Here is a 27,116-nt window from a genome sequence, read left to right as displayed (position 1 = left end):
TGTAGATAATGCATACACTTAGAGATGGAAGCATTAGGAGAATAGGTGGGAGGTAGCATGGGCCACAACTCAAACAGGCCTGGTGTCTGCCAGGGTGATCTTGGAAATATCACTTCTCCACTGGGCCTCATTTTCATTCTGCTCCAGTATGAAGTTGAAATTAAATGTAGATACTGTCCTCTGGCATTCATATAGTTTAGCTGTGCGTCCCCACCCAAAACTCATTGTGTATTATAACCCCTAGGTGTTAAGGGAAAACCTGAGGGGAGATGATTGGATTATGGGGACGGGTTCTCCTCATGCTGTTCTTGTGATAGTGAGTTCTCACGAGATCTGATAGTTTCATAAGCATCTGGTACATCCCATGCTCTCACTCACTTCACTTGTCAGCCACTGTAATTGGAAGGTTTCTGAGGTGCCCCCACAATTATGTGGAAATGTGAGTCAATTAAACTTCTTTACTTTATAAGTTACCCAGTCTCAGGTACTCCATCATTGCAGTATGAGAATGATCTAATACAGGAATTCAACTTTCTAGTGCTTTCTCTTTATATTTAGAATCATATCCATGTGCCTTATCACGTCTATGACAGAGGAAGTCTTCACAAAGTCTCCCAGTACTAGGTATTGAGTGACTCAGTTTTTTATTGAATAAAATGGAATACTTCCTGATGCCAGTACTATGGCCCTTCGGTTTTGAGGAAAATATCATCTTGTATGTTGGCTAACAAGGAGATAGGAGTTCAAATCAAATTTGTTTTGTCATACTGGCTTTAAGGCAGTGATTAGAAAAGGCCTAATAGGTGGGTTCTGTAGGGGATTGCTGGAAGGAAAGTAGGAATATGGAAAGTCATGAGACATATACAGTCATCTCTTCTTGTTTCCTCACAGGTCACATACAAATTCAGGGAGAGTTAGTATGAAGCACACAATGGAAATTTGGGCTCCAAAGTCTGCAAAGTGATGCTTCATGGACTTCAGTTGGCAATATTGGTTCCAACAATTTCAGCCAATGTTTAAAAAACTTATAGCAGTTAAATTTTTAGTGTTTCAACAAGCCGTTTCCTATCTTTCATTCTGAAGATCCATTTTTTAAGTCTTTTTTTTTAACAGTATAGGGGGTACAAATTCAGCTTCTCTCCAATGAAACACAGAAAAGGATATCACTTTTGTATTAGTTCAGGCTGCTATGCCAAAGAACCATAGATAGGCAGCATATAGACAACAGGACTTAATTTCTCATACCTCCAGAGGTTCAAATTTGAGATCAGGGTGTCAGCATGGTTGAGATCTGGTGATGACTGGCTTCTGAATTTCAGCCTGCACACTTCAGGTTTTACCCTCATTTTGCAGGAGGATGAGAGCCCTCTGCGGTTTCTTGTATAAAGCCAGTAATCTGTATTATGAGGGTCCCACCCTAAGGGTTTAATTACATTCTACCTCCTTATAGCATTACGCCCGGGGTTACAATTTTAACACAAATATAGAAGAAAAATTATAGTAACTCTCAAGTTTTTTTTCTTTCTTTCTTTCTTTCTTTTTTTTTTTTTTTTTTTTTTTTTTTGAGACACAGTTTCACTCTTGTATCCCAGGCTGGAGTGCAGTGGTGTGATCTCGGCTTATTGGAACCTTTGCCTCCCAGGTTCAATTGATTCTCCTGCCTCAGTCTCCCAAGTAGCTGGGATTACAGGCATGCGCCACCACATCTAGCTCATTTTGTATTTTTAGAAGAGACGGTGGTTTCACCATGTTGTCCAGGTTGGTTTCAAACCCTTGACCTCAGGCGATCCACACGTCTCAGCATCCCAAAGTGCTGGGATTACAGGTGTGAGCCACCGCACCCTGTCAAGATGTTTTTAAAGCTCTAATTTTTCTCCTACTGGGTTTTTCTCGTTTGCGCCCTCGATCTTTCTGTCTCTTTTTGTGTAAACCTTTTTGTCTAATTCTGTCTATTGTATTCCTCAAACACAGGAAGCAAGCTCCAATGCTATGAGATGCTCCATGTAGAGACCCACATAACAAAGGGTGAGAGGGTGCTCAGACGAGTAGAGAGAAGGAAAGTCAGGCTCTCCAGCCACACTAAACCCTGTCAATTTTCACATGAGTCAGCTTAAAGGCTCATGCTTTCCCAGTCCAGCTTCAGTTAAGACCACAGCCCCCAGTCTCATAAAAGACCTGAAGGCAGAGGTAGCCAGCTGAGCTGTGTCCAGATTCTGGTCCACACACATTATGAGATATTATATGTTGTTGAAAAGTGCTGACTTTTAGGGCAATGTTGTCAGAAAGGAGCAGATATCTAACCTCATCTCCCAGGCCCTAGGATTCTCCATCCCTCTGCTTATCTCTTTCTCAGGCTGTCTGCAGCCAAACTAGTCCCTTTTTACCTCTGCCAAACTCACACCTATGAGTTTTTTCACTAAGGGTGGCTTCTCCCTGACACATGCTTGTGCAGATGCCTCCCTGCTGTCATCCTCATCATGGATTAAAAGTCACCTCAGTGAGGCCTGAGGTCCTCCCATGCAATAATTTTCCAGGTTTTCTTCTCAATAATCTACTTTATATTATAGTCCTTGCTCTTTTCTTTCACATATACTTGCTTTAGTGCTTTTGTCCAGCGGTCCTCAGATTGTTTGGTCCTGGGTTGGGGGGTGCAGACATGAAGTAATAATTTTCTGTACCACATGTTGGACCCACCAGGGTCGCTGGCAAATGGTGAGCGCAAGGGAAAAAAGACTGGCTAAGTGATTATATGGGGGATCCCTAATATCCCTTCCCCTTTTGACCACCTGATAATGTGGACATCACTGATAACAACATGAGGTGTGTGACTGTTACTTGTTCCAGCTGCTCCAGCAAAGCTCAGTGGGCACCAGAAACACAGTAGGCTGTAACCACCTCCTGGCCATCACTAACCCTACAGCCCCAAGCAGGAGCACTACTGAACAAATCTGATACCTTGATTTTTCTGTCCTCAAGACACTGGTTCTTCAAGGTCCTAGGGGATAAAGTAGCAGGATCTGAAGGCCCCAAGTATAATGAGTGAACTAGGAATCCCGTTTTGCCCTCTCTTTGCCTCCACCTTTTTGGTTGTGCTATTTACTCATGAGGTATCCTCCCCTTATCCAGTGAAATTATTTTCTACCACTTTCAAATGAGGACCTTAAGAACGCAACAGTAGCTGAGATTTTCCGTGGACCTCAGCCTCAGAGTCCAGTGCTCTGGCACATTTAACTCTGTCTCATCTTCATCTACCCAAGATGCCTCTCAAGTGGCCATGCCTCCCTCTGATTTGAAGGATCTGCAGAGTGGGTGCATTTTTGCAGTCTCAGAGCAAGAATCCAGGCTGGCAGACACTTATGAGTATGTGAAATCATCAAGGTCACCCACTTCAGGCACCCCTATTTATGAGGAAGAAAACAAGCTTTCCTGTAGGCACTGTCTACATTAGGCTGAGGTGGAGCATAGCTCATTTTACTTCCAGTTGCCCTCAGAGCTGGATGCAGAACCCCAGTCCTGTTATCTTGAAACTGACATGGAGAGGACCCCATGTGAACAGAACCCTGAATCTGCTCATTTTCTGTGCTCCTGAATGTGTAGCTACAGACTCTAATTTCGAAAACAAACCTGATAAGTGGGACGGTGCCAAGGCCTAGGAAGCTGGAGCCCTCTCTAATGCTCTGGAGCCTGCCCACCTCCTGAGATCTGGACCAGTCTCTGCCTCTTCTGGGGCCTCAGTTTCCCAATTGTAATGTAATGAGAAATTAAATGTAAAACTGCATAAACATATGCTCTGTGAGAATTTGGTGTCAGAGTTCTCAATACTGGATGATAATTTGGAGTGGGGTGGGTTTGGGACCCATGGGTTCTCAGGCCTCCTTTCACACCCAGTGCAGTAGGTGTAGAGCTCTGGACAGCCAGGTGTTCTTTCCTGAGCCAGCTGATTACAACACAATGGACCAAGGGCTCTGATCTTAAATATGGTTTCACAGGATACCCCACCTTCAGCCACCACCTGCTCTGTGCTTCCCATATTTTGGGGAGCTGATGACAAACCCCATTATAGTGAAGAAGAACAAGAAACTAGACTTGTGGGCCTGGGGAAAAGAAAAAAACACTTCTATTTCTCCCAAACTGTAGAATCTCTTGTCAAATATTTAATTTTGATTATATCTGAGCTTGATAATACATTCATGTGTTAACAGCTGCTTAAATTTATTTTTTCTGTGAAGTGTGGGATAATGTCTTTGCCGTATTTTAAATCAAATTCTAAAAGCTCTCTTTAGAGTGGATAAGTGAGCATCTTTGTAATATAAACTTCACATATTTGTTGCCAGTTTGTTCTTTTTGTTTTTGTTAAAATGTTTTGTTTTATTCTGATTTGGATGTCTTTTGGCGTTTTGCTTTGTGGCTATTTATTATGACAGTGTAACTTCTCCTCTAATTGACTGACGGTTTGTACATTCTCAATAAAATATTTTCATAAAATCTTTGTAAAAATTGTGTAGTCAATTTTACATTACATAAACATAAAACAGTAAAGACTATCACGATGAAAAAGGAAGATTGAGGGCTTAAAAAGTAAAATACGACACAGCTAAAGTAGTCTGAAAGGGAAATTTACAGCACTAAATCCCCACAAGAGAAAGCAGAAAAATGTCTAAAATCGACACCGTAACATCACAATTAAAAAAACTAGGGAAGCAAGAGCAAACAAATTCAAAAACTAGCAGAAGACAAGATTTAAGATCAGAGCAGAACTGAAGGAGATAGAGACACAAAAAGCCCGTCCAAAAAATCAATGAATCCAGGAGCTGGTTTTTTTAAAAGATCAAGAAAATAAATAAACTTCTAGCCAGACTAATAAGGAAGAAAAGAATCAAATACATGCAATAGGAAATGATAAAGGGGATATAACCGTTGATCCCACAGAAATAAAAAGTATCATTACAGAATATTATAAATACCTCTTTGCAAATTAACTAGAAAATCTAGATGAAATGGATAAATTCCTGGACACATATACCCTCCCAAGTGCAAACCAGTAGGAAGTCGAATCCTTGAATAGGCCAATAACAAGTTCTAAAATTGAGGCAGTAATTAGTAGCCTACCAACAAAAAGAAGTCCAGGACCAGACGGATTCACAGCCGAATTCTACCAAAGGTACAAAGAGGAGCTGGTACCATTCCTTCTGAAATTATTTCAAACAATAGAAAAAGAGGTACTCCTCCCTAATTCATTTTATGTGGCCAGCATCATCCTGAAACCAAAACCTGGCAAAGACACACCAGAAAAAGAAAATTTCAGGCCCATATCCCTGATGAATATCGATGCGAAAATCCTCAATAAAATACTGGCAAACCGAATCCAGCAGCACATCAAAAAGCTTATCCACCACGATCTAGTCAGCTTAATCCCTGGGATACAAAGCTGGTTCAACATATGCAAATCAATAAATAAAATCCATCACATAAACAGAACTAATGACAAAAACCACATGATTATCTCAATAGATGCAAAAAAGGCCTTCAATAAAATTCCACACCTCTTCATGGTAAAAACTCTCAATGAATTATGTATTGATGGAACCTATCTCAACATAATAAGAGTTATTTATGACAAATGCACAGCTAATATCATACTGAATGGGCAAAAACTGGAAGCATTCCCTTTGAAAACCTGCACAAGACAAGAACACCCTTTCTCCCCACTCCTATTCATTATAGTATTGGAAGTTCTGGCAATCAGCAAAAGAAAGAAAGAAATAAAGCGTATTCAGATAGGAAGAGAAGAAGTCAAATTGTCTTTGTTTGCAGATGACATGATTGTATATCTAGAAAACCCTACCATCTCAGCCCAAAATTTCCTTAAACTGATAAGCAACTTCAGCAAAGTCTCAGGATACAAAATCAATGTTCAAAAATCACAAGCATTCCTATACGCAATAATAGGCAAACAGAGAGCCAAATCATGTGTTAACTCTCATTCACAATTGCTACAAAGGGAATAAAATACCTAGGAATCCAACTTAAAAATGATGTAAAGGACCACTTCAAGGAGAACTACAAACCACTGCTCAAGGAAATGAAAGAGGACACAAACAAACGAAAACAATCCATGCTCATGGATAGGAAGAATCAATATTATGAAAATGGCCATATTGCCCAAAGTAATTTATAAATTCATTGCTATCCCCATCAAGCTCCCATTGACTTTCTTCACAGAATTAGAAAAAAAACTACTTCAAATTTCATATGGAATCAAAAAAGGTCTTGCATAGACAAGACAATACTAAGCAAAAAGAACAAAGGTGGAGGCATCATGCTAGCTGTCTTCAAACTATACTAAAAGGCCACAGTAACCAAGACAGGATGGTACTCGTACCAAAACAGATATATTGACAAATGGAACAGAACAGAGGCCTCAGAAATAACACTCAACATCTAGAATCATCTGATCTTTGATGAACCTGACAAAAACAAGTAATGGGGAAAGGATTCCCTATTTAATAAATGGTGTTGGAAAACTAGCTAGCCATATGCAAAAAACTGAAACTGGACTTCTTCCTTACTCGTTATACAAAACATAACTGAAGATGGATTAAAGACTTAAACATAAGACTTAAAACCATAAAAACCCCAGAAGAAAACCAAGGCAGTACCATTCAGGACATAGGCATGGGCAAAGACTTCATGACTACAACACCAAAAACAATGGCAACAAAAGCCAAAATTGACAAACGAGATATAATTAAACTAAAGAGCTTCTGCACAACAAAAAAAACTATATCAGAGTGAACAGGCAACCTAAAGAATGGGAGAAAATTTCTGCAATCTATCCGTCTGACAATGGGCTGATATGTAGAATCTACAAAGAACTTAAACAAATTTACAAGAAAAAAAGAAACAACAACATCGAAAATGGGCAAAGGATTTGAACAGACACTTCTCAAAAGGAGACATTTATGCAGCCAATAAACAAATGAAGAAAAGGACATCATCACTGGTTATTAGACACATGCAAATCAAAAACACAATGAGAAACCATCCCACACCTGTTAGAATGGTGATCATTAAAAAAATCAGGAAACAACAAAGGATGTGGAAAAATAGGAAGACTTATACACTGTTGGTGAGAGTGTAAATTAGTTCAACCAGTGTGGAAGACAGTGTGGTGATTCCTCAAGGATCCACAATGAGAAATACCATTTGACCCAGCAATCACATTACTGGGTATATACCCAAAGGATTATAAATTATTCTATTATAAAGATACATGCATACGTATGTTTATTATGGCACTGTTCACAAGAGCAAAAACTTTGAAACAAACCAAATGACCATCAATGATAGACTGAATAAAGAAAACTTGGCATGTCCACATCATGGAATACGATGCAGTCATAAAAAGGATGAGTTCATGTCCTTTGCAGGGACATGGATGAAGCTGGAAACCACCATTCTCAGCAAACTAACACAAGAGTAGAAAAGCTAACATCGCATGTTCTCACTCATAATAGGGAGTTAAACAAAGAGAACACACGGACACAGGAAGGGGAACATCACACACTGGAGCCTGTCGGGAAGTGGGGGACTATGGGAGGGATAGCATTAGAAGAAATATTCCTGGCCTAGGCCACTATTGCGATTTTCTAAATTTTGTTTCAAAAACATGATATGTTTCAAAAATTGTTATTGGTATGTAATTATATAAATATATAGTTCAGAAAAAAGAATCAACATTAATTATGCTTTTTCCAAAATACTTTATGGTTTTGAGCTCTTCTAGCAGTGACATTTTTGCTGTAGGTAATTGCTGTGTATCTGGTATATTCATCATAGCATACTTTGTGCCGTTTACACTTATCCTTCAATTTCCCACTCTCCTAAGTGTAAAAGTTCAAGGCCAGAGCTCCCATATCTTCCCAATATTACTTTTTGAAAAGAAGCTTCTATGTACTGTTTTCTCTGGGTCTTGATTGGATATATTGCTAAAAGAGCTGAAAAATAATAATTTTTTTAAAAATTCGGTGATGAGATTAAAGTAAATATATTTTATAAATCTAATGTACAAAATGAGGTCAGCTGAGAAGACAATGACAGTTGAAGCAGAACCTGAGATCCTGTTTCTCTCCATTGACATATGAACTTAACTACAATTGGGCGAACAAAGCCAGTTGAGTTTGTAGCACCCCACATGAGAAAAAAGCCAACCATAACCACATTTAGAAGAAAATTTGGTCACATTTGTGCACTACAGAACAGCGCAGTTAGATAAAAATCTGTCCATTCCATGATTCTCCTTTGGGAAAGAAAAAAGAGTGAAATGCGTATGCAAACTTCTGACTTACTGAGTTATACCGGGGTTATCTAAAGACTGGAAATTGCTTCCTTTAACATTTAGTGTTGATGAGAATAGAGACTGAGTTTAAATGACAGCTTGGGTCAACTGAGAATAAAGATAAATGCTTCTTACAACAACAGAGACTGTAGTGCCTACAACAGTGACGAAGGGAAGAGACTAAAGGCTCCTAAGAGGAAACAGAGGTAAACCTTATTAACAAGAAAATACATACAGTAGTCCAAAGAAGACACATTTTGACAACAGATTGGAGAAGCTCCCAGTATGACTACTGTGGCTGAATGTTGTCAATTTTCCCATGTATAAAGCTCTTTCATAAAGGATAAAATAGGTAGTGGTTTCTTAATTGATCAAAACCTTAACAAAACTACAGTAAGTAAAAGCAACCAGGAAATATAACCTAATCAAAGGAGAAAAATATATATTCAAGTGAACCTAAAGAAGTGGAGATCTAGGAATTATTTTTTTAACTTAAAATCTTTTTATTTTTCTTTACTTTTTCATTTTATGCAGAGGATCTTACTTTATCTCCTGGGACAGAGTACACTGGTGGAATCACAGCTCACTGTAACCTCAAATTTCGGAAGTCAAGCAGTCATGCCACCTATGTCTCCTGAGTAAATATGACCACAGTTGTGCACATTACCCCTCCTGTATAGTTTCTTTAAAAAAATTTGTACAAACAGTATGTTGCTGTGTTGCCTCGGCTGGTCTCAAACTCCTGGTCTCAGGCAATCCGACTGCTTCAGTCTGAAAGTGCTGGCACAAGCTACCATACCTGGAATTGTTTCTCTTTTAAGAAAAAATAGCTTTAAATCATTAATAGTAAAATAAAACAAAGAAAGGTATTGCGTAACGATAAAGGGTTCAATTCAACAAGAAGACTTAACTATCGTAAATGTAGATGCACCCAACTTTGGGGAACATAGAGTTATACAACAATTACTGCTAGAACTACAATAAGCCTCAAGTAGACACACAATAATAGTAGGGGAATGCAACTCCCCACTAAGTGTTTGACAGATTATCTAGGCAGAAACTTAACAAAGAAATTCTGGAGTTTGATTCGACACTTGATCAATTGAAACTAATAGACATTTATAGTATATGCAACACATCATCTAAAGAAAGTAAATTCTTCTCATCTGCTCACAGAATATGACAGGCCACAATGGAACAAAGATAAAAATCAATACCAAGAAAATCTCACAAAATCACAGAATGATATTGAAATTAAACAACTTGCTCCTGAATGAATTTTGGATAAACAAAAAAATTAAGGCAGAAAATTAAAAAGATTTTGAAATAGAAGAGACACAATATAACAAAATGTCTGGGTTGTAGGAAGAGCTCTGTTAAGAGGAAAGTTGAGAGTGCTAAATACCTGCATCAAGAAGTTAGAATGATCTCAAACTAACAATTTAACATCACACTTAGAGAAACTAGAAAAATAAAAACTAACTTACCCCAAAGCTAGCAGAATGGCAAAAATATTCATAACCTATGAACCTGACAAAATCTAATACTCAGAATCTATAAGAAACTTAAAGAATTCACAAGGAAAAAATTACCCCATGAAAAAGTGGGCAATAACAGACACTCTTCAAAAGAACACATACAAGTGGCCAAATAACATGAAAAAAGCTTATCATCACTAACCATCAAGGAAATGTAAATAAAAACCACAATAAGACACCATTGTACACCAGTTAGAATGGTTTTTGTTAAAAAGTAAAATGATAATAGATGTTGATGGGGTTTTAGAGGGAAAAAACCACTTATACACTGTTAATAGGAATGTAAATTAGTTCAGCCACTGTGGAGAACAGCTTGGAGATTTTCCAAATAACTGAGAGTTAAACTGTGATTCAACCCAGCAATTTCACCGCTGGGTATATACCCAAAAGAGAATAAACTATTCTACCAAAATAGCACATGCACTTGTTGGTTCATCACTACACTATTCATAAGAGGAAGGACCTGAATCAACCTACGTGCCTATTCATGGTAATTTTTTATTTTTTTGAGATGACGTCTCACTCTGTTGCCCAGGCTGGAGTGCAGTGGCACGATCTCAGCTCACTACAATCTCCACCTCCCAGGTTCAAGCAATTCTCCTTCCTCAGCCACCCGAGTAGCTGGGACTATAGGCGCATGCCACCAAGCCTGGCTAACTTTTGTATTTCCAGTACATACGGGGTTTCATTACGTTGTCCAGGATGGTCTCGATCTCCTGACCTCATGATCCACCCGCCTTGGCCTCCCACAGCACTGGGATTACAGGCATCAGCCACCATGTCCAGCCTATTGATGGTAAATTGAATTTAAAAAGTGTCACATGTACAGCAATACTACTTAGCAAAAACAAACAAAAAAAACCTCCTTTGCAGCAACGTTAACACAACTAAAGGCCATTATACAAAGCAAATTAATGCAGAAATGGAAAATGAAAATACTGCATATTCTCACTTATAAATGGAAATTAACACTGGGTACACATGGACAGAAAAACAAAAATAATAGACAACTCTTAGAGGGTGGAGAGAGGGAGGGACCAAGAACTGAAAAACTGTCTACTTAGTACTATGCTCACTACCTGATTGATGGAATTACTCATACTTCAAACCTCAGCATTATACAAAATACCCATGTAAAAAACCTGTGTAGGTACCTCCTAAATCTAAAATAAATTTGAAATTCTAAAAAGAGGTCTTACTCTCTCACCCAGACAGGAATACAATACGATGATTATAGCTCAATGCAGCCTCAAGTTCCTGGGGAACTCAAGGAATAATCTTACGTCAGCCTCCAACTTCCTGAGACTACAGGAACATTCCACAATGCCTGAGTAATCTGTGAAAATATTTTTTACCAATAGCTTGTCACAATATTGCCCGGGGTAGTGTCGAACTCCTGGATTTAAGTAATTGACAGGGTTTGGCTCTGTGTCCCCAATCAAATCTCATCTTAAATTGTAATAATCCCCACATGTCCTGGGAGGGACCCTGTGGGAGGTAATATTTTTATCAAAATATCAATGACATTTTTTCACAGAAATAGAAAAAATATTTTAAATTTATGTGGATCCACAAAAAACTCTGAATAGACAAATAACTTTGAGCAAAATAAGCAAAGCTAAAGGCATCACTTTATCAAACTTCAAAACTTGCTACAAAGCTATAGTAACCAAAAGAGCACTGTACTGGCATAAAAACAAACACATAGACTAATGTGCCCAAGAAGCCCAGAAGTTAGTTTATGCACCTAAAGCCAACTGATTGTCAACAAAATTGCCAAGAACACACTTTAGGGAAAAGCTAATTTCTTCAATAAATGATGCAGGGCCATTTAAATATTTAAATTCAGAAAAATTATACTAGACCCCTGTGCCTTGCCATATATGAAAATCAATTCAAACTAAAGACTTAAATGTAATGCTATCAATTATGAAACTATTAGAGAAAAACTAAAAAATGCTTTATAACATTCGACGGGGAAAGGATTATTAAAATAACATGTCAAAACATAGGCAACAAAATCAAAAATAAGCAAACAACATTATGTCAAACTAAAATGCTTTTCCATATTAAAAAAACTAAAAGATTGAAGAGACAGCTTAGGCAATAAAAGAAAATGCTTTCAGGCTATACATATGACAAAAGGCTAATATTCAGAATAAATAAGAAACTTTAAAATCTCAAAATAAAATACACTTATAATCTAATTAAAAAAATGCAAAAGATCTTAATAGATGTTTGTCAAAAAGTGATACAAAAATGGCTAACTGGAACATAAAAATATGTTCTACATTACTAATCACTAAGGAAATGAAAATCCAAACCACAATGAGGTACCGCCTCACTCCCATTTAGAATGGCTATAATAAAAATAAATAAATAAATAAAACAAGTACTAATGAGGATATAAAATGAGTGAATGTATACATTGTTGGTGGAATTGTAAATTAGTATGGCCACTATAGAAAATACTATGGAGGTTTCTGAAAGAAATTAAAAATAGATGTATTACATGATCCAGCAATTTTACTCCTGCATGTATATACAAAAGAAAGGATATCACTGTGTCAAAAAGATATTTGCATTTCCATGTTAGTTACAGAACTAGTTATAATAGCTTATATATGGAATCAATTCAAATGTACAGCAACAGATAAATGGATAAGGAAAATGTACTATATATGCACAGTGAAATACTATTCAGCTATAAGAAAGGATAAAATTCTGTCAGTTAAAAGAGCATGGATGAACCTTGAGCATACCATGTTAAGTAAAATAAGCCACATAGAGAAACACAAATACTTTATGATCTTATTATCTCACTCATTTGAGGAACCTGAAAAAAAGGGTTGATATAAGCAAAGAGTACAACAGGGGTTCCCAGAGACTGAAGCAGGGAGATGGGAAAAGGCAGCTTCAAAAGTATTGTGTTACAATTAGATAGGAGAAATAAGTTTTTGTTTTTTGTTACACAGCAGAATAATAATAATTAATGAAAAGTTATCTCAAATTACAAAATAGCTAAAAGAGACCAGTTGTGGTGGCACATTCCTGCCATCCATACATTTTGGGAGAATGAGGTAGGAGAATCACTTGATGTCAGAAGTTCAAGATGAGCCTGGACAACATAGTGTGACCCTGTCTCTATGAAAAATTAAAACATTATCCAGGCATGGAGGCAGGTTCCTGTAGTCTCAGCTAATTGGGAAGCTGAGGTTAGAAGATTGTTTGAGGTTACAGTGAGCTAGGATTGCACCACTGCACTCCAATCTGTGTGTTAGAGCAAGATCCTGTCTCTAAAAAAAGTTAATATATAAAGATATAAAAAAATAGCTAGAGAAGAAGCTTTTGAATGTTCTCACCACAAAAATAACAAATGTATGAGGCAATAATTACACTAAGTACTCTGATTTTTATTGCTATACAACATATATACATAATTGTTTCCCCAAAATTTGTACAATTACATGTGTCAATTTTAAAATATGAAGACTATAATGTAAAATCTATAGCTGTAAAATTCCTAGCACAATACAGAAGGGTGAAGCTTCATGACAATTGGTCTCGGCAATAATTTGGGGGATGTAACATCAACGAATCAGACAACAAAAGCAAGGGAATACACATGGTACTAAATCAGTGTGTGAAAAATATCCCAAACAGGCAAAGCAGAACATGGAATAGATATATGCACATTTATGTACACTGTAGCATTACTCACAAACATACTACCTGGAAGCAAATGTACCTTTAAGGATGAGTAGATTCAACAAACAGGGCACGTATATTCACTGGATAGCATTCAGCCTTAAAAATAAGGAAATCTTGAAAAGTACTACAATAAGGACAAATCTCGAAAACATTCTGTTAAGTAAAACAAGACAGTCAAAAAGGAAAACTGTATAATTACACCTATGTAAAATATTTAGTCAAACTCAAAGAAACCAAGTGTTGTAGTCTCAGCAGTGCACCAAGATGTAACAGTCTCTCATAGTCTGAGATAGCATCGAAAGTTCTTTGTTCTACTTCTAGGGAGATTAAGGAGCGTGAACACAAAGGTGAGGTTAGAGTGAAAGTTTGATAAGCAAGAGAAGAAAGCTCTTTGCCAGCAGAGATAGTTTCTGAATGGGGTGACCTCTGTGAGGCTGGGGCCCAAGGTTTTTATGGACTGGGAAAGGAAGAGAAGGAAATGTGCCTAGTTAACAGGCTGTCTTGAAAAAAGTGTGGCTCAGCTTGGCCCAGGACTTTGACCCGGGACCAATCAGGAGCTGAAGGGATGATTCATAGATGCTATTTAGATTGGCCCAGGACTTATCAGAAGCTAAAGTGAAAGCTTGGCGCAGGAGCTTGTCCCGGGAGCAATCAGGGGCTGAAGTAATTATTCACAGAGGTCTGACTTACAGTCCAAATAAAGGAGAGTGTCGACCGGAATGCACCAGAGCCCACTGTGCTTATGCCCACAAAAGGAGAAGAAACATTTTCCTGGGAGCCCACTGACTGCACAAAGTACAAAGGCGTTTCTTTTTTTCTTTTTCTTTTCTTTCTTTCTTTCATTTTTGTTTTTGAGATGTACTTTCTTATTATTTATTAATTTATTTATTTTGAGACGTAGTTTTGCTCTTGTTGCCCAGGCTGGAGTGCAATGGTGCGATCTCGGCCCACAGCAAACTCCGCCACCTGGGTTTAAGTGATTCTCCTGCCTCAGCCTCCCAAGTAGCTGGGATTACAGGCATGAGGCACCATGCCCGGCTAATTTTGTATTTTTCTCCATGTTGGTCATGCTGGTCTCGAACTCCCGACCTCAGGTGATCCGCCCACTTCTGCCTCCCAAATTGCTGGAATTACGGGCATGAGCCACTGTGCCTGGACAAACAAAGGCATTTCTATGCCAGGTCGGTCTTGTTCCCTTATCTCAGTGAGCTGGAGGTTTGTACAAGTTTTTATCCAAATATGCCAGAGGTTTTTCTGTCTGTGCAGCCATGGGCAGGTCTCCAAGCACAACACCATGTGCTAGTTACCTTGTTAGTGTCTGCAGCTTGATTTTTTCCAGGATTCCTTTTATATTATGCAGGGATGAGACACTGACCCAAGGGCCAGGGACTTTCCAGGGACCCTTCTCTTGCTATCTAACTAAAGCAAGCTAACTAACTTGTTTCAGAATTAATGAGTATTCACTTTTACTTTTGTAAGACAAAAATTATCTAAAACCTATTGCAAAAAAAAATAGAACTATACTTACCACTTCTAAACCATATACTTAAAATGTTAGAAATGAAAATGGCATGTTTTTAACTACAATTAGAAATTTAGGACTACCTAAAAGGCACGGTTACAAAATCTTCAAACATCCCCTTCAAATAACAAAGGGTTCTTCTCACTTAATTATTTAGATTTAAACTATAAGTTGATTGTAAATTTAAGATTATTTCCCTGACTACTCACCAAGATAGAATAAAATAATCACTAGAAACCAAGAAAAGAGGGAAATTTATAGCACTAATGTCCACATCAAAAAGCTAGAAAGGGCCGGTCATGGTGGCTCATGCCTGTAATTCCAGCACTTTGGGAGGCTGGGGTAGGCAGATCACTTGAGACCAGGTGTTCAGGACCAGCCTGGCCAACAGCAAAACCATATCTCTACAAAAAAATACAAAAATTAGCTAGGTGTGGTGATTCACATCTGTAATCCCAGCTACTCAGGAGGCTGAGACAGCAGAAGTGACTTAAAACCGAGAAGTGGAGGTTGCAGTGAGCCGAGATTATGCCACTGTACTCCAGCCTGGGTGACAGAGTGAAACTCTCCCACAAGAAAAAAAAAAATTAGAAAGATCTAAAGTTAACAGCCTAACATCTTGGTTAAAAGAACAAGAAAACCAAGTGAAAACAAACCTGAAAGCTAGCAGAAGATAAGAAATAGCCAAGATCAGAGTAGAGCTGAAGGAGATAGAGACACTGAGAACTCTTCCAAAAAAAAAAAAAAAAAACTCAACCAATCCAGGAGCTGTTTTTATGAAAAAAAAAAAAATTTATAAACTAGATGGAACACTAGTTAGGCAAATAAATAAGAAAAGAAAGAACCAAACACAAATAGAAATAATAAGGGAGATATCATCACTGATCCCATGGAAATAAGAACAACGATCAGAGAATACTATAAACACCTCTATGCTCATAAACCAGAAAATCTAGAAGAAATGGACAATTTCCTTGCAAAATAAACTCTCTACAAGACTGAACCCTGAATAGATCAATAATGTGTTCTGAAATTGAGACAGTAAGAACTAGCCTACCAAGCAAGCTGAATTTGACTTGAGGTAAAGAGGAGATAGTACATTTTCTCCTAAAACTATCCAAAAAAAATTGAAGACAAAGAAGTTCTGTCTAACTCATTCTATCAGGCCAGCATCATCCTGATACCAAAACCTAACATAGATACAACAACAACAACAACAACACATCATGCCAATGTCTTTGATGAACACTGTGCAAACATCCTCAATAAAATACTGGCAAACCAAACCCAGCAGCACATTAAAAAGTGCATCCACCACAATGGAATTGGCTTTGTCTCCAGGATGCAAGGTTGATTCAACATATGCAAATCAACAAATGTGACTCATCACATAAAGAAAACTAAATAAAAAAACCACATGATTACCTCAATAGATGCAGAAAAAGCACCCAATAAAATTCAACATTCCTTCACGTTTAAAATTCTCAATAAATTAGGAACTGAAGAAACATACCTCAAAATAAGAAGAGCCATATACAACAAACCCACAGCCAATATCATACTGAATATGCAAAAGCTGGAAACATTCCCCCTGAAAACCGGCACAAGAAAAGTATGCTCTCTCTCACCACTCGCATTACAACTCCCATTCGGAAAACTTGTCCAGGAAAATCAGGCCAGAGGAAGAAATAAACAGTATTCAAATAGAAAGAGAGAAAGTCAAATTATCTTTGTTTACAGATGACCTGACCCTATATCTAGAAAGCCTCTTCGTCTCAGCCCCAAAGCTTCTTAAGGTGATAAGCAGCAGTAGCAAAATCTCAGGATATAAAATCAATCTGCAAAAGTAGCTAGCATTCCCATACACAAGCAACAGGCAAGCAGGGAGACAAATCATGAATGAACTTTCATTCACATTTGCTATAAAGAGAAAAAAATACCAAGGAATACAGCTAAGAAGGAAAGTGAAGGATATCTTCAAGGAGAACTACAAACAACTACTCAGAGGAATCAGAGTGGACACAAAACAAATGGAGAAACATTCCATGCTCACGGAGAGAAAGAATCAGTACCACGAATATGAGCATATTGCCCTAAGTAATTTATAGATTCAATGCTGTTCCCATTGAACTACTGACATTCTTCAGATAATTAGAAAAAAAAAACTTTTTAAAATTAAAATGGAACCAAAAAAGAGCCCAAATAGCCAAGCCAACCTTAAGAAAAAAAAAAAAAAAAGCTGAAAGGGTCATTGCCTAACTTCAAACTGTACTAGAAGAGTACAGTAACAAAAACAGCATGGTACTGGTATAGAAACAGACACATAGACAAATGAAACAAAATAGAGAGCATAGAAATAAAGCCAAAAACCTACAACAAACTGATCTTTGACAAAGTCAACAAAAACAAGGAATTAGGGAAAAGTCTCCCTATTCAATAAATAGTGCTAGGATAACTGGCTAGTCATGTGCAGAGAATTAAGACTGGAACCCTTCCTAACACCATAGACAAAAATTGACTCAAGATGGATTAAAGACTTGAATGTAAAACCCAAAACTATAAAAACCTTAGAAGAAAAAATCTAGAAAATACCATTCAGGATATAGTCATGAGGAAAGATTTGATGACAAAAAGACCAAAAGAAATAGCAACAAAAGCAAAAATTGACTAATGGGGTCTAATTAAACTAAAGAGATTCCACAGAGCCAAAGAAGCTATCATCAGAGCAGAGAAGCTAGAGAATGGGAGAAAAATTTTGCAACCTATTCATCTGACAAATATCTAATACCCAGAATCTATGAGGGACTTAAAATTTACAAGAGAAAAACAAACAACCCCATTAAAAAGTGGTCAAAGGACATGAACAGACATATCTCAAAAGAAGACATACATGTGCCCAACAAACATGGAAAGCTCAACATCACTGATAACTGGATAAATACACATCAAAACAACAATGAGATACCATCTCACACCAATTACAATGTCTATTAATAAAAAGTAAAAAAGAAATAAAAACAGATGCTGGTGAGGTTGTGGAGAAAAGGGAACACTTTTACACTGTTGGTGGGATTGTAAATTATTTCAAGCATTGTGGAAGAGAGTGTGGAGATTCCTCAAAGACCTAGAAGCAGAAATACCATTTGACCCAGCAATACTATTACTGGGCATACACCCAAAGGAATATAAATCTATTTTAAATAAACATGTATACATATGTTCATTGCAGCAATATTTACAATAGCAACGTCATGTAATCAATCTACATGCCCATCAATGATATACTGGATAAAGAAAATGTGGTACACATACACCATGGAACACTATGAAGCCATAAAATGTAATGAGATGATGTCCTTTGCAGGGACATGGTTGGAATTTGAAGCCATTACTCCCAGCAAACTAATGCAGGAACAGAAAACCAAACACCACCTATTATTATTCTAACTTATTAGCAGAAGCAGATCAATGAGAACACATGGACACATCAGGAAGAACAACACACACTGGACACCTGTTTCATGGCATGGGGGAGGGGAAGGAGAGCAGCAGGAAGAATAGCTGCGGATGCTGGGCTTAGTACCTGGGTGATGAGATGATCTGTGCAGTAAAGCACAATGGCACACGTTTATCTATGTAAGAGACCTGCATATCCTGCACATGGACCCCTAAACTTAAAATAAAAGTTGAAAAAAAAGCTTATCACATATGGACCACTGAACTTAAAATAAAACTTGAAAAAACATGAGTATGAGGTGGATTCCCTAGGTTAGACCCAAACTGAAGATCCTGAAGCTCCTGCTGGGGGATTTGGGGCTGGGGGCACCCTGGGGAGCTGCTGCCAAGGCCATCCACCGTCCCTACAGGCCGCCTCTCTTCCCGGCCTGTGATGGAAAGGAGAAGGGGTATGTGAACAGCTGTGGAAGTCAGACTCTCGGGAACTGAATCAGGCCCCAGCCCATGCCCCCCAGCCCAGTCCAGCCAACGTGCCCGCTGTCTTCCCACCCAGCCAGCCGAGCCCTCAGGATTGTTAGATGGAACCAGGCTCCATCACCACCCAGGCATGGAGGGAAGATGCCCTGGTCCTTAGCAAGCAAGGCCTGGTTTCCAAAGTGCTCTCCGAAGAGGCCTCATGTTTGTGACATCTTAGAAGGTACCTTTCTGCTGTTCTTGCACCCAGCATGTTGGCAAGTCAAGTTCCCCCACTGAGTTCTCCACACATAAGGAGGGAGTCAACACCATTGCTAAGTCGGATCAGCTCAAGTGTCTCCAGTATCAGTTTTATCAGATCCCAGGGACCTGCCTGCTCCCAGAGGTGACAGAGAAAAATCAAGGAACGATCTGTATGGTCACTGACATGGATGAAACCCTTGTGCATAGCTCCATTAAGCCAATCAGCAATGCTGACTGCCTAGTGACTGTAAAGATTGAGGGGACCATGAGGCCTTATATGGATGAGTTCCTGAGATGACTGGAGGAACTGTTTAAATGTGTTTTCTTCATTGCTCTCTTCATTCCAGACTGAACAAGTATGCAGATCCTGTTGAGAGGTGACAGCGTGCTGGCAGTCCTCACAACCCTTGCTCACTCTCCGGGCCTCCTCTGCCTGGGCTCCAACTTTGGCGGCACTTTAGGAGCCCTTCAGCCTGTCGCTGCACTGTGGGAGCCCCTTTCTGGGCTGGCCAAGGTCGGAGCCGGCTCCCTCAGCTTGCGACGAGGTGTGGAGGGAGAGGTGCGTGTGGGAACCAGGGCGGCGTGCAGTGCTTGAAGGCCAGCGCGAGCTCGGCGGACCCCACACTCGGAGCCGCCGGCTGGCCCCACCGGCCCCAGGCAGTGAGGGGCTTAACACCTCGGCCAGCAGCTGCTGTGCTCAATTTGTCGCTGGGCCTTAGCTGCCATCCCACAGGGCAGGGCTTGGGTCCTGCAGCCCGCCATGCCTGAGCCTCCCCCCCATCGGTGGGCTCCTGTGTGCCCAAGCCTCCTGGATGAGTGTCGCCCCCTGCTCCACGGCACCCAGTCCCATCAACCACCCAAGGGCTGAGAAGTGCGGGTGCACAGTGCCAGACTGGCAGGCAGCTACACCTGCAGACCCTGTGGGGGATCCACTGGGTGAAGCCAGCTGGGCTCCTGAGTCTGGTAGGGACGTGGAGAAACTTTGTGTCTAGCTCAGGGATTGTAAATACACCAATCGGCACTCTGTATCTAGCTCAAGGTTTGTAAACATGCCAATCAGCACCCTGTGTCTAGCTCAGGGTTTGTGAATGCACCAATCAACACTCTGTATCTAGCTACACTGGTGGGGATGTGGAGAACCTTTGTGTCTAGCTCAGGGATTGTAAACACACCAATCAGCGCCCTGTGAAAAAAGACCACTCGGCTCTAACAATCAGCAAGATGTGGGTGGGGCCAGATAAGGGAATAAAAGTAGGCTGCCCCAGCCAGCAGTGGCAACCCACTCGGGTCCCCTTCCACACTGTGGAAGCTTTGTTCTTTTGCTCTTTGCAATAAATATTGCTGCTGCTCACTCTTTGGGTCCACAATGCCTTTATGAGCTGTAACACTCACTGTGAAGGTCCACAACTTCACTCCTGAAGCCAGCGAGACCACGAACCCACCTGGAGGAATGAACAACTCCAGATGTGCCACCTTAAGAGCTGTAACACTCACCGCGAACGTCTGCAGCTTCACTCCTGAGCCAGCGAGACCACGAGCCCACCAGAGGGAAGAAACTCTCAACACATCCGAATGTCAGAAGGAACAAACTCCAGACATGCCACCTTTAAGAACTGTAACACTCACCGTGAGGGTCTGTGGCTTCATTCTTGAAGTCAGTGAGAACAAGAACCCACCAATTCCAGACACATTGTGATGGGTGTGCTGGACCAGTGTGAGGTGTTCTGGGGTTGCCTAGCCCATGAGTCACGTTTGTTCCACCAGGGCTGCTATGTCAATGACCTCAGCCATCTGGGGAGGGACCTGAGGAAAACTCTCATCCTGGACAACTCGCCTGCTTCTTACGTCTTCCACACAGAGAATGCAGTGCCTGTGCAGTCCTGGTTTGATAACATTCCAGACAGCAGCTGCTGCACCTGATATCAGTCTTTGAGGACATGAGTGGAGCAGAGGGCATCTATACTAGCCTTGGGCAGCAGTGGGCCCTTAGCCTTTCCTGCTTCCCAGCAATGGCCATCACAGTAGGGGATTTTCCCACACTGTGCCTTTATGATCAGCCTGAAAGAATGAAGCCTGGAACACCTACCCACATGGGCCTGGAAACAGTGAGAAGTGATTGAAAAGAGCTTTAGGACAGCTTAGATTCCCAGTGGGTGAATGCCAGACCAAGGATACCCAGAGCTACCTGCCATCAAGTTTTTGGGTTCCCAAGATTGGGTGTGAGAGAAAGAAAGAGAGCATGTGTGTTTTGTGATGAACTGTGGGCCCAATATATAGTGTTTCAGTAGGGGAGAAGCTGAAGGACAGAGACTCTTCCCAAGTTAGCTTTGTCTCCTCTCCTGTCACCCTATGAGACCCTGAGTTCCATAGGGATGAAGACTGTTGAAGGCTCCATTGCAAACCTGGTCTTTCTTCAGTGCTGCAAGGCCTATGCCAAGGAGAAAGGAAAAGTATGTCTTTGGGTGTTCCAGACACACATCTTTCTGAAATATTTCTCCAGCCAGTTGTTGCAGACAAAAGATGATATTTCTGGGAAGATGGGGACTTATGTCCAGACCAGTACCCAAACCATCAGGTCTTGTGGCCTAAAGGCTATGCTTACTTAAGTCCAGCCAAGTGCCTGGGATGGATCCTTTCTGCATCTCCTCAAGACTCACCACTTAGGCATAGCCTCAAACCTGTGGGGAAGGAAGTTGTCTCCCCACCCTGCAAGAGGACAAATAACTGATTTCTCTTCTTTCGACTCTGTTTTAAAATTCTCTTAAAAAAAAAAAAAGCCTATCTGAAACTGAAAAGAAAAAAACAAAAAAACAAGGAAAAAGATGTCATACTTACATAAGTGAAAAACATACAGATATATCTATAAGCAACAAACACAGCTAATTCACACATATATTAAACATCACATTGAGATAAAGTGTACCGAGCTAAAAATTATCTTTCAACTGATGATATCAAGCTTTAAAATAAAAATACATTTAACTGATCTGAGAAAACATAACTCCCAAGAAAAGAAACACAATAACACGGACTTGAAAATAAGAAGAGAGATTTTCGTGCATAAAATCCTGAATACAACATAGATTTACAATGGAAAATAACCGTTTTTTTTTTTATTTTTTTTTTTGAGACAGAGTCTTGCCCTGTTGCCCAGGCTGGAGTGCAGTGGCGCGATCTCGGCTCACTGCAAACTCTGTCCACTGAGTTCACGCCATTCTCCTGCCTCAGCCTCCTGAGTAGCTGGGGATACAGGCGCCTGCCACTATGCCCGGCTAATTTTTTGTATATTTAGTAGAGACGGGGTTTCACCATGTTAGTCAGGGTTGTCTCGATCTCCTGACCTCGTGATCCACCCGCCTTGGCCTCCCAAGGTGCTGGGAATACAGGCATGAGCCACCACAACCGGCCGAAAAATAATTCTTTAGATATCTACAGCATTCAACTGTGTGCACTCATGAAAAGCAGACAATTTAAGTCATTAGAATTTAATAAATTGCAGTAAAATTATACAGAAAATACATTACAATCATTAATAACAGGCTCTAATGAGAGGAATTTAATAAATAATCATTAAAAATACAGGATAATTTTATTATGTTCTCAATATGTTGCTGCACTTCTTACCACAAAACATAATAAAATTATATGACTATAATATAGATTTCAAGAGCTAAAAAAGCCTTATATTTCCAAATAAAAGAACAACATAAATTTTGCAAAATATGACGAGCATTACTGCAGTATAAAGTAAATATCTGGAATTAAAATATACCATCATTTAGATACAGACTAAAAAAAAGAATATAAATGTTAATGATTCCTTTCTGCCTGCAGTGAGCTTAAAATTACAACCAAAAATTTTAATAAATATGTAGCACCTACAAGACATTTTATTAATAGCTTACATAATGTGGAAATTTGAGCAATTTATTTTAGAATTTTTGAATCTAAAAATCACCAGCTTGACATTCATTTGAGAAAGTGAAACATAAAGGAGAGTAACATAAGCAAGACGACAGAATGGGAGGTTCGGCATGCACATCCCCCACAACATAATGCAGCTGCCACGGGAAACATAAGTGCATTCATGAAAGCCTTAGAATCCAGTTCAGAGTTTGTGACACCCAGCTGGAGGCAAAGACCAAGGAAGACATCTTTAGAGGGTAAGCACTTGACCAAGTGGCAAGCTTGCCAATCATGGTCCTCGGTTCAAAACAGAATACTACCACATCTTACTGTAAACTTGGCTATGACTCATTTGAACTTGGTCCTGCCACTGCAAAAATCTGTGAAAAACACAAAAGAATTCATACTCATCTGAGACTTAGGTGACAGGCCTGCAGAACTTGGTTCTCTCTATAGTCCCTGAATCAGGCAAAACACACCTTCTTTCCTTCTCCAGCCAAGGTCTGGAAGAAATCTTCACATTGATATGATGAAATGCTAACTAACAATATGAAAAATACTAAAGTATAAATGTCACTAAAAATGGTAAATACATACTGAAATTCAGAATACTCTAAATTGTTATCATCTTAAACTAGACTATTAAAATACAAGAGGTTTTACATAAGTCTCATGATAACCACTGGGGGAAAAAAAAACATAGTAAAGAAAAAGAGAAAGTAATTAAAGCATACACAAACAACAAAAATTACACATTGGATACAGTGGCTCCTGCTTATAATTCCAACACTTTTGGAGGCCAAGGTGGAAGAATCATAAGCTCCTTGGGTGTTGTGGTACATGTCCAAGTAGTCCAAGCTACTTGGGTGGCTAAGGGGGGAGGATTGCTTGAGCCCAGGAGATTGAGGCTACAGTGAGCTGTGATATGCCACTGAACTTCAGTCTGAGCAAGAAAGCATAACTTTGTCTCAACAAAAATGAACAATACCACAGGAAAGACAGAACCAGAAAAAAAAGAAGCAAACTTAAAATGGACAGAAAACTACAAATGTACAATAGTAACTGCTTACCTATCACTACCTTACAAATAAAAAGATTAAATTATCTACTAAACAGATACTTCTGTAGACTGAATGTCATCTCCAAAATTTAGGATAAAATGGCCAATGTGAAAGAATTAAGAGGTGGAACCTTTAAAAATTAATTAAGCTATAAGCACTCTGCCCTCATGAATGGATTAATGTTCTTATTATGGGAATGGGCTAATTTTAACAAGAATGGATCTGTTATATATTAAAAAAAAAAAAGCTGTCTCTCCCTCACATCTTTGGCCATGTTATTATCCAGCAACTAGACCTTCAACAGATACCAGTAACATGTTCTTTTACCTTCCCAGCCTCCAGAATCATGAGTCAAATAAAATTCTGTTCTTTATTAATTACCAGTCTGTGATATTCTGTTATAACAGCCAAAAGAGACTAAAGCAGACAGAGTGGATAAATGAAACTTTTAAACCTCGTAATATGCTGCTTACAAGAGACTCAATTATGAATTAAGAGCATAGGCTAAAAGTGAAAGGATAGAAAATGATATTCCATGCAAATAATAGCCAAAGGAGTTCAATGGTAGTTATGCTTAAATTAGACAAAATAGACTTTCTAGCAATGTCTCTCACAAGCATGAAATGAGTTTACCATACAATAATAATAGAGGTTAATTTGTCAAGTGAATATAGCTATATATATTTATGCACCCAAAAGGGAGGCTTCTAAATATAAAAAGCAAATATGGGCAGAACTGTAGGGAGAAGTAGAAAGAAATCCAATAATAGAAAACTTTAATGAAATGTATAATAAAGGACAAATAGTTAACAGCATTGTGAATTTGCAAGGGAAAGCTGTTCTCCTGTGTTGCATTTGAGAATGCAGCAAAGAAAGTGGGAACTGATAATTTTACCACAAGCCTGAGTTAGGCTGAAAAACAGGGTGGTCGATTAGAGGTTCCACTTGCCATATATTAAAAAAACACAGGAGAAAACCAGTCCTCCTCTGGAGTGTTAAAATAATTAAAGAGCAGAAAATTAGACTAAAGTGGCTCTAGTGTCCTGGGTTCATAGGTTAAAAAAAAAAAAACAAAAACTAAAACCTAACTCAAATACATTTCCTATAAAGCATTATCTTAGCCTGAAACAAAATGCACGTTTAACCAATGGCAAACATGCAATTAACCTCTGAATATGTAACCAGGACATTTCCATCTGGATAGTTCAAATAAGGTGACTACATAACTGGAACCAATTTTTGAATTTGGGCTGCTTTCTCATGCATCTTATGAAAGCCTTTCCTTTATGCCCCTCTGGTGGACCAGAAATCATGGCTGGGTGCTTTCCATTTCACCAATCACTGTTTGTTCAGATAAACTGGTTAACGTTTTAACATAGACTCCCGTTAATTTTTAACAAGAGAGACTGGGGACCCCACGGGCCGCAGCTCCTCCCACGCAAACACCCAGTGGCAGTTTTTCCCTGATGACCCACCAGGCCTCCCTGAACAATCTGGGAAATACTCATGGCTGTGGGCGCAGAGCAGGGCGCTGCCCAGGGACAGCACCGGATGGGCCAGGCCGGATGTGGGGGTCCTCGATGCTGGCCCAGCGGCCATCTTGCAGCCACAGGGGACTGAGGGCCAAGCTGCGGGAGACTCGGAGCTAACCGTGGGGGCCGGTCCTGCCGGTTTCACAGCCTGCTGTCCCCTCTCGGGATGCCGAACCCCGTATACTCACCATTTCCCAGCTTCCAGGATGTCCTGTCATCTTAACTGTGCGTCCCCAAGGACCTACAGATCACAGGGCAACAGGGGCTGTGAAAGAGTAGCCCGGGGCTCCCAAAGCGGAGGAGGCGAAAGAGGAGACGGATCCCAAGTTCCTGTGCCAGCGCCAGCAAGAGACAAAGACCCGCCAAACGCCAGAAGCCACGCCCTCCTCTCCTGTCCTCTCCAACTGCGCGCCTGATTGGGCTGTTCCCACATCAGTGTCAATGACTGGATAAAACTCCAGGACTCACCCACCCCCGCCTGACTCCTGCCCCTACCCCCACTCCCCCTCAGCCTTAGTGCATTTTTGTTAGTTTGTTTTACTTTAAGTTCTGGAATACATGTGCAGAACGTGCAGGTTTGTTACATAGGTTTACATGTGCCATGGTGGTTTGCTGCTTCTATCAACCTGACGTCTAGGATTTAAGCCCCATATGCATTAGGTATTTGTCCTAATTTTCTCCCTCCCCTTGACCTCAACACCCTAACAGGCCCCAGTGTGTGATGTTTTGTTCCCGGTGTCCATGTGTTCTCATTGTTCAACTCCCACATATGAGTGAGAACATATGGTGTTCTGTTTCCTGTTCCCGTGTTAGTTTGCTGAAGAGAATGGTTTCCAGTGTCATTCACGTCCCTGCAAAGGACATGAACTCATTCTTTTTATGGCTGAATATTATTTCATGGTGTATATGTGCCACATTTTCTTTTTCCAGTCTATCAATGATGGGCATTAGGTTGGTTCCAAGTCTTTGTTATTGTAAACAGTGCTGCAATAGATATATGAGTGCATGTGTCTTTATGCTAGAATGATTTATATTCCTTTGGGTATATAACCAGTAATGAGATTGCTGGGTCAAATGGTATTTCTGGTTCTAGATACTTAGGGAATCACCACACTGTCTTCCATAATGGTTGAAGTAATTTACACTCCCGCCCCCAGCAGTGTAAAAGCGTTTCTATTTCTCCATAGCCTCATCAGCATCTGTTGTTCCTGACATTTTAATAACTGCCATTCCAAATGGTGTGAGATGGTATCCCATTGTGGTTTTGATTTGCATTTCTCTAATCATCAGTGATGATGAGCTTTTTTCTTTTTCCTTTTTGTGTGTTTGTTGACC

General features: G+C 39.8%; 1 long non-coding RNA gene across 1 annotated transcript in view; it reads right to left on the bottom strand.

Annotated features, from left to right (window-relative positions):
* LINC03105 (long intergenic non-protein coding RNA 3105) overlaps nt 1-26,140 on the bottom strand; it is a 38,341-nt gene extending 12,201 nt beyond the window's left edge. The window contains exon 1 of the long non-coding RNA NR_170980.1: nt 25,970-26,140. This is a non-coding gene — a long non-coding RNA (long intergenic non-protein coding RNA 3105). The remainder of the gene's footprint in view (nt 1-25,969) is intronic.
* Nucleotides 26,141-27,116: the final 976 nt, after the last annotated feature.

This window comes from Homo sapiens, chromosome 21 (genome assembly GCF_000001405.40).
Source record: "Homo sapiens chromosome 21, GRCh38.p14 Primary Assembly".
NCBI classification, from domain to species: domain Eukaryota; kingdom Metazoa; phylum Chordata; class Mammalia; order Primates; family Hominidae; genus Homo; species Homo sapiens.
Note: the sequence above shows the minus strand (reverse complement) of the source record. Positions and strands in the feature narration are given on the sequence as shown.